Source organism: Homo sapiens, chromosome 9 (assembly GCF_000001405.40).
Source record: "Homo sapiens chromosome 9, GRCh38.p14 Primary Assembly".
NCBI lineage: Eukaryota > Metazoa > Chordata > Mammalia > Primates > Hominidae > Homo > Homo sapiens.
Genome location: NC_000009.12, coordinates 90,910,459 through 90,925,503, shown reverse-complemented (window position 1 = coordinate 90,925,503; position 15,045 = coordinate 90,910,459). Strand labels below are relative to the sequence as shown.

The window sequence follows — 15,045 nt, the reverse complement described above, 5'->3', positions numbered from 1 at the left end:
GCAGTGCGGGTGATCCACTGTTCTTCTTCAGAGGCTGGATACATGGACATGCTCAGTTTGTGAAAATTCAACAAACTGTACACTTAGGAAAGGTGCTGCATTTATGTGTGTGTACGTGTGTTTATATAACTTAAATGTGCATCTATATACCTTAATTTTTTTTTTTTTGACGGAGTCTTGCTCTGTCACCCAGGCTGGAGTGCAGTGGCATTATCGCGGCTCACTGCAACCTCTGCTCAAGCGATTCTCCTGCCTCAGCCTCCTGAGTAGCTGGGATTACAGGCACACGCCACTACCCCTGGCTAATTTTTGTATTTTATTTTTTTTAGTAGAAATGGAGTTTCACCATGTTGGCCAGGCTGGTCTCAAACTCCTGACCTCAATGATCCACCCACCACGGCCTCCCAAAGTGCTAGGATTATTGGCATGAGCCACTGCGCCAGGCCCTTAAATTCTTTTTGAAATGGGCTCTTGTTCTGTCTCCCAGGCTGGAGTATAGTGGCATGATCATATCTCACTGCAGCCTTGACCTCCTGGGCTCAAGCAATCTTCCTACCTCACCATAAATTTAAACATGAAAAAGAGCAAGGACAGTTCTGCTGTGGGGCATGCAGACATAAAGCTCCAGTGGGCCTTGTAAAGGCAGAGCCGTCTTCAGACACCACCACCCTTGCCCCACAGCACTTCCCTCACTGCCCTGTGCTCTGGTCCCTATGCCCCTTCTTAGGGAATGTGAGTGCTTCACTCAGGGATAAGAGGGCCTGGCACTTGGCAGAGGCCACCGGCCCTGGCCCTTGAACTGTGATGGGATCCCTAAGCGCTTTCCCTACGGTGTCAGGGCTCTGAAGTTGCCAAGAGGACAACAGAAAAACGTGTTGGTGTGGTGGTGGTTGTTTTCAACATGAAAACTCCAGATTATCCGGAACAATGGTAACCCCCAAGAGCATGTGGACTTTTGACGAGGAGGATCCAGGGATTCTTCTAGAAGGTATTCAAAAGGACAAGGAGAGCAAAGTTTATGAGATCAGAGAGATCAAAGACCTGAAGGGCAGTGCTTGGTCCCAGGGTCCTAGGAGGAGAGAACCCCAGGAAGAGGAGGGAATGTCGCAGAGCCAAGGAAATATGCTCCCAACTTGCAAACTTTCAAAAGTTATAATCCAGCATTTAAAAAATTATTACTGATACATTTGATTCATGAAAAACTGACTGTTCCTGAGGAAGAAACTCAATTACCTCTTAGAAACTCTTAAAAAAAAATCATCCCTAGACAAAAGAAGAAAAACCAATTCAAAACTTCCACTTCCTCATTTCTTTGCGGCATCTCAAGTGCCCTTAAGGAAAACACACACACACACACACACACACACACACACACACTGAGACACACAGACCTATTTAAAAACAACAGGTATTTTCACATTGGTGCTCTGACCTATTTCTGGATTAGAAACTGGATTGCATGTCCACAAAGCCATCTCCCCACCTGGTGTTTGCTCTACACAGCGGTTGGGAAAGTACAGCCTCAGGGTCTAACAGAAAATGCATCTCTTCTTCTTTTTTATGATCGAATGCCATGAATTTACTAGTTTATAGCATCTACTTTTGCATTATATACGGAGGCCAAGATTGGAGCTTAGCCCAGTCTTTTCTGGAAATGGTTCTTTTGAAATCAGCAAGTCCGCTTAAATAAAAGAAATATTCCTCTGCCTTCCCTGGTGACTTGCATCCTCATTTTCATTCTTTTTCAAGACTTTGTCAAGAAGTCAGTAATAGGAGGTCTGTTCCCATTAAAGAGTGTGGTAGTGTGTAAGTCCCTGTGAGTCTATCTGCCATGAGGACCCTTCCATATGTAGAAACATGACAAAATAAATATTTAGGAAGGAATTTCAAAGAAGTTCAAATCTAGATATCCTCATCAGGGATAATACAGGAGCTTGAAATACATGTGCAGATCACCTGGTTCATTAACTGTTGAGACATGGGCTGTGAGGATCCAGGATCGCTCAGCCCAGCAATCACAGAGAAGGCCCACTGTGTGGTGAGGCTGCAGAGGGAACACCAAGGGTCCAAGCGGGCACCTCTAGGGTTGCAGGGCATCTCTGCCTCAATTATTGCCTTTCCACTGTGGATTTACACACTGTATTTCCACAAATAAAATTTTATTTTACAACATTTATCTATGCTAAAAAGAGTTGAAAACCACTGATCTATTTGAGGCCTTTATTTCACTTGAGCAGGGAGAAACATGACTGGTCAGGGATTCTCAAAGAGGAAGATAATCAGATAGATGAGAGCTGTCAAACATGTCAGCAAAATGAATGCTACGAAACAGTGGCATTCAACTTCAACAAACGGAACTCTCCCTGCTCAAGGAAACAGCTAAACACAGCAGTTTAAAGTTTTAAAGGTGATCATATTTAACATGTTTGAGAAGATTAGAGAATGTAAACTATCCTTGAAACAAGAAGAGGCTGTTACAAAAAAGAACTATAAAACTTTGAAATTTAAAAGATGATTGTTAATGAAACCTAGCAAAACAGACGTGATTGAAGAATAAATTAGTGAACTGAAAGACCAAGGGGTTCTTGTAGAATGTCATTCATGGGGACAAAGAAATCCAAGTAAGAGACAATTGACACGAGCGGGAGCTAGACGTTTCTTTATGTATTTACTAGGAGTTCCAGGAGGAGAGAACAGAGAGACTTGAGGGAGGAAAATAATTAAATAACTGATAGAAGAAAATTGATCAGAACTTTTCCAGTTCAAAAGCAGGGCCAGCTTCCTGGATATGTGGCCCTTGTGGTCACGTAAGGCTCTAAGCTCAGAAGGACTCTATGCTTGTCTGATTCTCATCTGTTGCCATCTTGAAATGCTTCATAATTTGATCTTTGAACTTGGGTTTTGTAAGTGAAGTCCGACGGAGCCACAAACCGTGTGCATGTGCAGAGACACAGGTGATATATGTGTCCCCGTTCCTTGCTGCTCCATTCACGCTCCCAAGGCCCATGCATACAGAATTCCAGTGGATTCCGGTGCAGTTCAGCGACACTGAAGGCGAGTAGAAGGTAATCGTGCTCTACCACAGAAGGAGGGGCATATGGAAGCCGTACAAAGCCACACACGATCTGTTGGAACCAGAACTTGTTTCAAATGCCTAAAGAAGGCAAAGGCCTTCTAAGAAACAGAACAATGAAGGCATCCTATCCCATCCCTTCTTACCTGGGCTACTTCCAGTATTCGACAACCACGAACTTTGAAAATGATGACATACGAGGAAAGATGAGGACAGGGCAACCCAGAGTTCCTGTCCTTCAGTGCTTTCTCCCTCATTAGTCAGCTGAAGATAAGAGGGTGCTGGCGCACGTGCATGTAGCAAGAAGTAAAATACAAACAGTTGAGCTACTTTTCAGCAGCATTGTCGCTGTTATGGTAGAAATGAAATACACATGCATGCTCGAGCCACATAACACAAACCATAATTTCAGTGATTCCTCATGTGAGTTAAACACTTTTGTATTTGCATTTAAAACTAGCATTGCACAAATGATAAAATTCATGCTAATACTTTAAAATTTTAACTTGGAATGACATTAAATAACATGAAAAATGCAGCACATCAAGAAAGAGACTCTGGAAGAGAGGAAAAAGCTGTATATTTTAGTATTGTTATGCCTTTTTCTTGCTTTTTGAACAGGACTTCCACATTTTAGTTTAGCACCAGGTTCTGCAGACCAGATAGCCAGTCCTATTTAAAAGGGCCCACCAACGCATGGCAGAATGCATTTTAAAAAGATTTATTTTGGAACTTCAAAGGTAAAGAGAAGTTTTTGAAGTTTCCAGAGAGAAAGAAGGGTTAATTTACAAGAAATGAAGTGCCTGCGGCCAGCAATGTGGAGCTGGGTCAAGAGCGCTGTGGCTCTTTGAGCATAGGGCACCGACTGTGGCTGGCCAGGGCTTGTGTGTGGCCCAGGGCTTCTGAGCAGGCTCATCCCTTCTGAGCAGGCTCATCCCATGTCTTGACCTGGTCTGGAAACCAAAGGAAGGTGCAGCGGACAGCAGCTGGGGGGCAGGGGTAGACTGGGCACACGAGGCTCATTGTGAAATCCCAGGGCGTCTCCTGGGAGCTTGTCTGCACAGAGCTGGCAGGGCCAGTGCTGGAGCCAAGCCAGGTTCCAGAAACGTGCCCAGACACAGCTTGGCAAGGTGGTGGGCTGCAGCATGTGAGGACAGGAGGAACACAGTGTCCCTGAGCTCTGCTGCTCCAGAGCTGGGCTCCGTGGAAGAACCAGGAGGCTGAAGAGGGTGAGTGCACCAGCACTGAGGTGCGCCATGGGCTGCTTTCGAGGCTCAGGTTTCCTGTGTCAGTGGATGGGCAGGGCCAGCTCTGTGTGCTGCGGGTTTGTGCGCTGAGACACAACACATGCAGACACACACAGACATACAGATACATGCAGACACACAGACTCATAAGACACACATGTACATACAGACACACAGATACATGCAGACACACAGACTCATAAGACACACAAGTACACACAGACACACAGATACCCAGATACACACAGATACACAGACTCATACAGACACACATGTACATATAAACAGACACACAGATACATACAGATACAAAGACTCATACAGATACACATGTACATACAGACACACAGACACACAGGTACATAGATACACAGACTCATACAGCCATACATGTACATACAGACACACAGACACACAGACACATGCAGACACACAGACTCATAAGATACACATGGGCATACAGACACATAGATACATACAGATACACAGACTCATACAGACACACATGTATGTAAGACACACAGACACACAGATACAGATACATGCAGACACAGACTCATAAGACACACATGTATATATAGACACACAGACACAGATACATGCAGACACACAGACTCATACAGACACACATGTACATACAGACACACAGATACACGCAGATACACATAGACATGGACATACACATGTACATACACACACAGACCCATAAAGGGACACTTAGACACACAGACACACATACAGACATACACGCAGACATACATGCAGACGTATATACGGACACACACACAGACACAAAATGGAAACTTTTTCCTTGGCTCTTCAAATACAGAAAAATCATCCAAACAATTCATTTTGGCCAAGCCAACTCATGCCGGCATTAGGAGTTGGGGGCCAATGCAGAGAGTGCAGCTCTGCCTGCTGTCCTTCTCCTTTACTGCCCTGGTAGAAGCGCTGATGAGCACGGCAGCCAAGGCTGTCCAGGAGGGGATGCATGGAGCACAATGCTTGGACACAGTCCAGCCAGCAAGGAGAGGCTGGCTGGGTCCCTCCCAGGGCACCCAGACTGTTCCAGGGCTGTGGGAGGCCCAAGAGAGGAACAGAGCGACCCGTTTCCCGAGAGCTTGGCAGCCTCAAAGTAGTGGGGACGTCATGTTCTGGGGCCCGAGGGAGAGGTCGTCAGCCATAGAAAGAGGGAAAACTATGTGGGGAAGGAGCCATGGGCTAAGGTTTCAGGCCCCAGGAAGGACTCGCTGGAACAGCACGGGCTGAGTGGGAGCCCATGCCAGGCCAACAGTGAGGCCTGGCATGGGAAAGTGCCTGTACAGCCGCCTTGTGAGGAGTCAAAGACGTGGAGGACATGCCGGGAGAAATGAGCACAAGCAGGTTTCCGTGCTGCCGAAATTCTGTGCATCCTGAAGATGCTTCATTCCAACGGAGGGAATGCAAGTCCACAGAGGTTTCCAGAAGTCACCAACCATGGAATGCTTTCTCTCTTCCACTGACAATACCCATGCAAGAACACGGCAGAGGCTGAAATGGTCTTGGGGCAGGGGAGAGACTCCGGCCTCGGAGGGTCTCACCCTACTGCACAGCACATTAAGCCCACCCTGCGAGGTCGACAGAGGGCTGAAGCTGAAAGCCCATTGTATGGGCAACAAAGGACGAGCACCCAGGCTGGGTTGCCTCCAGTCTCTTTCCTCAGTGTGGCTTCCTGGGCAGAAAGCACATGGCTGGGTTGATCCCTATGGCAGGCCCAGGCCAGGTGAGGCAAGTGAGTGTCCTTAAGCTACGCCCCAGTGTCCCCTTCTCTCACCTCAGCCCTGGCCCTGGCTGAGGAGAACAGGTGGTCCTCAGCCATCTGGGGGTGATGGCAAGCCTGGAGCGGGTTCCGTGCAGATCACATAAGAACAAGGCTGAAGTACTAGGGACACTCACACAGCCCCGGCTTCCCAGGATGGACCTGGGGGTGGCAAACGGCTCTCCATCCACAGGGACCCCTGGGCTGGGCCATGTAACTGTAGGGCATTGCCAGAATCAGGGTCACCATGGGCTGGGCACTCAGAGGCTGTTCCAGGTGGGAGTCCACACTCCAGGCCCAGGGCAGTGCCTGCCCTCCGTGGTAGAAAGAGCTCATGCCTTTCTAGCACAACTCCTGAAGGGTAAATAGCTACAAGTGAAGGGGCACCCTATGCAGGGAGGACAGTCATCAACTGTCATCAACACTGACTTTTTGTTTGTTTGTTTGTTTTTGAGATGGAGTCTCGCTCTGTTGCTTTGTCACCCAGGCTGGAGTGCAATGGCACAATCTTGGCTGACTGCAACCTCTGCCTCTTGGGTTCAAGCGATTCTCCTGCCTCAGCCTCCTGAATAGCTGGGATTACAGGTGCATGCCACAGATGGCTGTGACATGGCTGGTTTCATACCCCCACAGTGAACTACGCACATGCGGTAACTGTGGCTCAGGTGGTACGGAAGGCACAGTAGGAGGCTCAGGTCATCTGGCCACTAAGTCCTACCCTCACATATCTGGGTGCTTTGGTTATACAGAACCCATGTCCTGAAGAATCCATATCGGGCTTCTGTCTAGGAAGATTTCACACCCTGCGCATTGCAAAAGGCCATGGAAAAATGGTGGCTGCTAAGAGTTATTACTTATAGAGGCAAAGTGATGTGCAAATATTATAGAAGGTCAGTATTATTATTATCATCATCAATATCTTGTGCAGAAGAGGAAACCAAAGCTCAGAGAGGTTGAGCAACTTGCTCAGTTTCACACAGACAGTAAAAAAGCATTTTTAAAAGATCCTCAAATTGAGGTGCTCTGGAATCCATGGACATAGTCCACCTTCCTGGAGCATCTGAAAATCCACTGGGTATAATATGGAGACCATGAAGGTTTGCTGTGCCTCCCTCCCCAGCCTATCCTACTCTCCTTTGACAACCGTGGCCCGAACTTCAGCTCCAGCGTCTCCAGTGATGTCTACATCATGACAAAACTGAAAGTTAAAGGTAAAAGCAGTAATTATCTGCAAAACAGCTAATTTTTGTTTCGCTGAATTTGTTTAATTTTGCAGCTGTTCTGGGGATCTCATGATTCATAAGGAGCCCTACAGATCTAGAAGGTTGTGTGTCTTCTGCTCTAGAATCAGAACCAATAGGACATATATAGATATGTGAGACATTATAGGAATTGGCTCATATGTTTATGGAGGTGGAGAAGTCCCATGATCTGCCATCTGCAGGTTGGAGACCCAGGAAGGCTGGTGGTGTAACTCAGTCTTAGTCCAAAGGCCTGATAACCGGACGAGCTGATGGTGTGAGTCCCAGTTAGAATCCAAAGGCTCTAGAACCAGAAGCACCAGTGTCCGAGGGCAGAAGATGGATATATCAGCTCAAGCAGAGAGAGCGGATTTGCCCTTCTTCTGCCCTTTGGCTCTATCCAGGCCCTCAGCAGATTGGATGGTGCCTACCCACATTGGTGAGAGTGGATCTTCTTAGTCTACTGATGGAAATGCTCATCTCTTCACAAAATGCCCTAACAGACACACACAGAAACAACGTTTTACCAGCTATCTGGGCATTCCTTAGCCCAGGCAAGTTGACACATAAAATTAACCATCATAAGTCCACTTCTTGTCAACTTAACACCAAAAGGCATCTTCTTAAACTATGCTAATCTTCAAATAAAGACAATACCAATGTCATGCTATCTGCCTATCTTGCATACAACCCAAAACTCACTAATCCCTTCCCCACAAGAGAAGGCAAGGGCCTTCGGTGATGTTTACTCTTCTCCTTGATATCTCATAATTTAAATACTATAATGTAAGATTGACAATACTTAAGTATTCATATAAAGTCAATGTATTGTGTGTTACAGGATAAGGGAATAAGAGAGGAAAGAAAAAAAGATATTTGCTTACTTTGCATACACACAAATGTATTCTTAACAAAACAGGGAGAAAGTACTCATAACAGTTACAGTCCTGGTTTCTGTAACTGGTCACATGGCCACAGTAAGTATCTATAACCACTTTATTCCACCGACGCATTCTGTATTCCCTTTGCCTTCAGCAAGCCCCTCAGGTGGTTATGAGTTTTTACCTGGTGCAGTGACCCAAACCTTCATTCCTGAATTTTCCATTGAGCTTAATCACAAGGCATAGTAATACTAAGAGACGCCCTAAGGAATTTCCTATGTTCTAGACATACTCTTCCTTACTTCCATTGTGGAGCAGCAATCCAATTTCCCTTTGATAGTCAAGATCAATCACCCCAGCCAGCAATATCATTCTCTTCTTGGCCTGTTGACTCAGAGACACGAAGAGCCCACAATGGCTGGATGACAGTCTTCATTTCCAGTTGGAAGTTGTGGAAGTTGTAGAAATTATGGAATCATTGTTGCATCTCCTGGTGGAAGCATTCTTCCCTCTGGAGCTAAGACATTTAGGCTAGCAGGGCATAAAGTTGTGGGAACAGGAAGCAAAAATGTTGCCAGTGGCTCACTAGGGGTGATGGTGAGTGGTGTATCTCCCATTTCCACTGCCTGATTCCCGGACCAGTGAGTCGTGGCTATGGGACAAACAACACCATCGATTGGAGGCTGATTCAGAGTGTATAGTTTATGTCCCAGAGTCATCTCCCTGGGCATGGATGGGAACTTCCCAGAAGAACTATGGGGAGCTGGTTATTTGACATATTGAGCAACATGTTTGGCTTCACAGTAATGTGCCCAGGTAAGTCCCTTACCTCTGTTTGGTGCTGTCCATAGGCCGCCTTGTCAGTTAGCTGAAAGGCAGTGAGAATACATGCGTAGGAATACATAGCTTCTCTGTAATCCCAGCACTTTGGGAGGCCGAGCGGGGGCGGATCACGAGGTCAGGATTTCAAGACCAGCCTGGCCAATGTGATGAAACCCCGTCTCTACCAAAAATATAAAAAATTAGTTGGATGTGATGGCATGCACCTGTAATCCTAGCTATTCAGGAGACTGAGCAGGAGAATTGCTTGAACCCAGGAGGCGGAGGTTGCAGTGAGCTTAGATCGCACTACTGCACTCTAGCCTGGGCAACAGAGTGAGACCCAGTCTCAAAAAAAAAAAAAAAAGAAAAAGAAAAAAAAGAAATACATAGCTTCTTACCACCCAGGAAGGACCGCCAGTCACTCCTTTTGACATTCCTCAAAATTTCTTTTGGATGTGTCAAGAAAGTGGCTCACCTTTGGCTTTGCTTCACGTCTGGAAATCAAGAAAAGCTGTGAGCCAGCCCTGAAGTGGGATCTACTCAAGACTGCCGATGGCGCCCCCCCTGGGAAGGTGCTAGAAGGCTAGGCCGGGACTACAGTGGAGCTCAGAGCAGGTGGTGACGGGATCCCTGCTCTCAGTCCATTGCAGATTTTTGAAAATTAACTGTCCTCACCTGGAAAGCAGAGGCTGGATTAGATCTGAGATTCTTTTGTCACCTCTTTGGACCCTACATTCTGTAAGGTAGGGTCCCTCCACACCATATTGATTCAGCAGTACATAAATTCATTACTTTGTTTTCACATCTCCCTTAATCAAAGCCTGGACTAGCAAGCTCCAGGTGGGGAACCTGAGCACTCCTGTCATCCGGAATGCCTCCGGGAAAAGTGTGACGAGTCCTTCAGTTCCCAACAGCCCAAGGACTCCAGGCTGGAGGCTAGCAGGCCTGGGCGAAGGCTCCCTTCTAGCTAAAGCACGCTACATCCCACCTTCGGAGACCAAAGACTCCAAAATGACTGCATTTCAATGTCAAACTAACAGAACAAGTCCACACCAAGCTGACCTTTAGCAAGTGGAGTTAGAGAAACTCATTCCAATCCCCTCTGCTGGACAACACTGTGATCTCAAAGATTAGATATGGGTTCTCTGAATAGAGCAGTCATTTGCCAGTCACTTATTTTGAATATAAATCACTTAATACATTATTTCTGTACCTGTTGAAACGCGATTCCAATTGTGCATGCAGTTGGTGTCTCTTCCACTTTCATAAAAATAGGCATAACCTAGGAGGTAGGTAGCCTGTCCCTTTCCTGCCAGGTGGATGGCTGGGACCAGCTCATGCCCAGGTGTTGGCTGCCATCTAGTGGGCACTTGAGAAGTAGCCCTGAGCTGCTGTGCAGTCCAACTCTCAGTTGTCTGCCCCAAGTGGGCCGTCCCCGTGCGGAGAGGCACCCTGCAAGCTGCCTCCTTCCTGCCCTGGAGAGCAGCACTCTGGCCAGGCCTTCCCACCCCATGTCAGGGACATGGCTCCATGGCCAACCCCCACTTCTTGTCCTTTCCCTTCTTTTTCCTTCCCTCTGTCCTTCTGGTAATGTTTGCCTTTTAAAATTGGCAAGCCAATTTAATTCCCAAACCAAGGAAATTAACCCCCCGAAGTGAGAGAGAGTGCAGCAGCAGTGGGCAGTATTTGCCACTACTGCTTACTTGAGGAACTACCCTGAGGATGGCCATTCTTTATGTAAACCCCAGCCCTGGGGGGTCTACACGGTGAAACCCCAGAGCTCAGGGTCCCTTGTCTTACCTTGGGGCTTCAGGAATAAGCACTCATCAGGGATTGAGATTCACATCCTGGGCCCAGGAGCTCTGGATGGGAGGCTGCCTTGGGTCACGTCAGTCGCCGCTCATTATAACACGGTACTTGGGGCTGGGCACTGGGCTGGAACACAGTGGCTTTGGAGGGGCCCACAGCGTGGGCCACGTGGTGCTTCCCTGACTTAGCAGTGAGCCAGCAGCCATGCCCACATCCAACAGACCCAGAGTCCATGCTGCAGTTGTTGCTGGATGCCTGTGACCTGGGCTGGTGGCCAGAGGGACGGCACTGGAGCGGGAGACGTGGTGCCACGCCGGGCTTCCCTCAGCTTCAGGCTCTGGTCAGACTTCAGGGACAGCATCTCCTTTGCTCCTCCCCACGGCACCAGGCAACATGGGTGGAGTGGGACTTAGCGATGCAGCTCCGTCCATGGGGCTTGTGTGGTGGGGGCAGCTCTGGGATTATAGCTGCCCACCTTGGGGTACCCTGGCCTTGCAGGGTTAGAGGACAGAGCCAGAACATGCCAGCTGGACCTGGCCTGATCTTTCTACCAGTCTGTCTGGACAAACCTACACAGACAGGTCTGACCCCCAGGGAGCGGAAGCTGGTTGGGACATGGCCCTGGGCAGATATGACCCTCATTCTGTCACTGTTTTTTGAGCAGGGACTTTGGGAAACACCCACCTGTGCCTTTCACCTGCCCATTCCCCAGGAACGGTCTCACGTTGGGCGTCGGGTGTTGTTTTCACAGGGACCACCAGGTTTTTCAGCAGACAGCAGGGCAGTCTCAGAGCCCAGCATTGCCCTCCTGGCCTCCCCGGGTCCCAGCACAGCTCCATGCCTCCATGTGGGCAGCTTCATGGGTCCTGTCCCTGAAAAGCCCATGGAGTCTGCATGGGGTGGGGCAGTTCCCGAGCATGGAGGGGGAGGAATCTGGCTTCTAAGAGAGATCCCCCACCCCCATCCAGGTGACTTCTGGGCACCTGTCCCAGCCACCGAGGAGAGTGGTTATGAGGGGACATCTAGGATGTTATACAGCTGCTAAGAGATGAAAGTCAGGTGACTCGGAAGATCCTGATTCTCTGGCTGACGATGGGCACCCTGGGGCCCATGCAGGCTTGAAGTTGGGGCTGGGGGAGAAAACAGGGGCTTGGTCTGCTCTGGAGGGAAGTGGCATGGTGTCCTGCCAGACTGGCTGGTTTGAAAGTCGTCAGGAAAGACCCACAATAAGACACATTTATTGATGCTAATTAGCCATGGCTGAGATTGGCTGAATCAGAGTCTCTGAATTCAGACATCCTCACAGGCCAGTGTTTCTCAGCCCCAACACCACTAGGCAGAGGTAAACAATGGCAGAGGGATAGGACACTTCGAGTACAATGTTTGCACCTGGAATTCTCCCACCTGCCTTGCAGTGACCTGGTCATCTCGACAGGCCAGAGATGAGCAAGTCTTGGCTACACACGTGGGTGATGCTCCCCACGCCCTGCAGGCAGGGACCAGGCAGCTGGGGTCACCCAGGAGAGAGTGGCAGGGCGGGTGGCCCAGGCCCCTGGCTCTGAGATCATGCCCTCCTGAGCTCCATTGCTAAGGTGGCTCTGCTGAGCTGCTACTACCAGGACTGAGGTGTCGGGACAGTGAGTTCTGGCTGGGTCCTCTCCCAACACCCCCCACTTCCACACCGCTGTACACAGAGCCAGGGGCTGCACTGCCCTCCCCTCCTACCTGTGTGTGACTCTGACCCTGCAGGCTTGGGTGTCTGTAGTGGCAGACAGTTGTTTCTTCTCCTCTCTTGGGCCTCAGCGGACCCCAAGTGGTGGAGAGAGCAGGAGGGCATGGGGCTGGGTGCTCTTGTGGACTGATGGCGGTGTCCTGGGGACAGTTAGGCAGCTGCTATCATTTTCAGTGAGGATATGTGCCCTCTAACCCAGCAACAGTCAACGCCCAACTGCAACGCACAGCACACAGCACAAAATGGGTGAGCGTCCAGCTCCCCCCACAGAGCTGGAAGCAGCTTGTGGCAGCTGGTCCTGGGAAGCTGGCTCTGGGAGGCAGTGGAGATCAGGGGTTCATCCAGGACAGCCCCTGGCGTCCATGCCTGCCACAGCAGAAGTGAACAGAAGCTTTGGATACCCTCACAGGGGCTCTGGAGCTAATGTGATCCAGCAGAGTTGCCCCAGGTGGCCCAAGATGTGCACAGCTGTACACACCTGCACAGCCCCATCTCCAGCAGAAGCACCCCCATCAACCCCGGCCTCTGGCAGGAGGTCCAGCCTATGACGTAATGCTACAAGGTGGTTTAACATCTCACCAGAAGAATTCAGGGCCCTAATGAGCAGACCCCCCCTCAGGCTCTGGGAGAACCCAGGAACGTTTTCGGCTCAGTCCTGAGTGCTCCTCCCAGTGGCCCTGCCTCATGGCTATGGGAGGGTTATTGTACAGCTAAAAGCACTCAGGCTGGGGGCCCTCTTCTGCCTCTTCCTAGGATGTATGATCACATGAATATATATTTGGTGCTTGTGACCTGGGCTGGTGGCCAGAGGGACGGCGCTGGAGCGGGAGACGTGGTGCCACGCTGGGCTCCCCTCAGCTTCAGGCTCTGGTCAGACTTCTTCTGGTGAGATGTTAAACCAACTTGCAGCATCACGTCATAGGCTGGACCTCCTGCCAGAGGCCAGGGTTGACAGGGGTGCTTCTGCTGGAGGTGGGGCTCTATATATTTGAGAATAAGTGAGGCATTTTGGCCACAGGCCGTTGAGCCGCAACCTCTCTCCTGCAGCTTCCTGAGTGGTGGTATATTCACATTTGTCTATTCTTACAAATGGCCCCAGACTGGAGGAGGTGCAGGCCCCACAGAACTGGAGTGCTTACCACCTGAACCCCTGGAAGTGTCTCCCTCCTGAAGGCCCTGGGTCTCAAACCAGCTGCTCATTTGACTTGCCCAGGGGCTTTAGACAGCTGCCAGGCCACAGCCCAGAACCAGGAGCCAGCCTCATGGACTTTCACAGGTGAGTGCCCAGTGCCTGTAGTCAGGTAGGGCCCCATCTACATCACCCAAGAGCTGAGAGAAATGCAGCCCCCCAGCCTCCACTGTTGCAGGACCTTTCCTTAGTTCAGCTAAAGACTGGGTCCTTGTCTGTCCCACGGCCATGAAAATTTAGGCTTGCAGGCAGTTGGAGAGGGTGAGTAAAGCAGGGTTTTACTGGATAAAAAAGAAGAAAAGGGGGAAATGAGGACTCTTGCGAGGCCAGAGTCCCTGCTAGAGGGCTTCCTGCTGCCATTCAAATCTCAGGTTCTGCACACGAAGAGGAAGGGCCAGGCTCCTCCCAGCTGCAAACATCATGAACTTCCTGAGGCTCCACCTCAGTGGACAGGCTGGTAGGAGTTTCTCGAGGGACCCCCTCCAACCTGGCTGACTCATTATGACCCACTGAGGCAGAATCTGCTTTTCAATAAGATTCCAATAATTGTCAGGTACAGGGAGGTGTGAACTGTGAGCCCTGGAGTCCTTCGCCCCCTTTCCGGAGTCTCCCTGTGCACTTACCTCAGGGGCCCGGGGAGGTGGGGGCATGGCTAGCATGGTGGGGCAGCCGACCTGGGGCTTCCTGTCAATACCTGGATTCACTTTCTGGTGGTGGGGACTGGGCGGCTTAAGCTACAGAAGTTGATTGTCTCACAGTTTGGAAGTTGGGAGTTTCTTCTGAGGCCTCTCTTCTTGGCCTGCAGATCGTGTCTTCATGTCTCCCAGTGTGTATGCCTATGCAGGTTTCCCCATCTTCTAAGGACACAGAGTCCTACTAAATTAGAGACCACCTTATGGCCTTGTTTTAACTTGATCTAAGATAAGTTATAGGTCTGCAAAGACCCTATTTCCAAATAAGGCCACATCCACAGATACTGGGGTTAGGACTTCAACATCTTTCCAGGGCACACGATTCAACACCACTTTACCCAGAATGACTCAGGGTGGGCGGGCCTGTGCATCCCCTCCTCCTGATGTGCAGGGGCCACCCAAGGCCAAGACCAATGAAGCCAGTCCCCTGGAAGGCCCCAGCCTCATTCCTGCTCCCCCTAGGTCTTCAGAAGGCATCTTCACCAACTTGCTGCACAGCCCCAGGGTCCAGCTCTGAGGGAACCAACCACACTCAGTCACCTAGAATCCTCTCTGAGCTAG

General features: G+C 49.7%; 3 annotated features.

Annotated features, from left to right (window-relative positions):
• Positions 1,270-1,319: an enhancer, noted in NCBI's record as "active region_28578". NCBI's record gives its function as "activates an Ori minimal core promoter by ATAC-STARR-seq in GM12878 lymphoblastoid cells {active_cell/tissue: GM12878}" and the evidence as "EXISTENCE:reporter gene assay evidence [ECO:0000049][PMID:35858748]".
• Positions 4,008-4,170: a silencer, noted in NCBI's record as "fragment chr9:93683616-93683778 (GRCh37/hg19 assembly coordinates)". NCBI's record gives its function as "represses an EF-1alpha promoter that drives an FKBP-Casp9 reporter gene in an ReSE screen in HepG2 liver carcinoma cells {active_cell/tissue: HepG2}" and the evidence as "EXISTENCE:reporter gene assay evidence [ECO:0000049][PMID:32094911]".
• Positions 10,345-10,494: a silencer, noted in NCBI's record as "silent region_20024". NCBI's record gives its function as "represses an Ori minimal core promoter by ATAC-STARR-seq in GM12878 lymphoblastoid cells {active_cell/tissue: GM12878}" and the evidence as "EXISTENCE:reporter gene assay evidence [ECO:0000049][PMID:35858748]".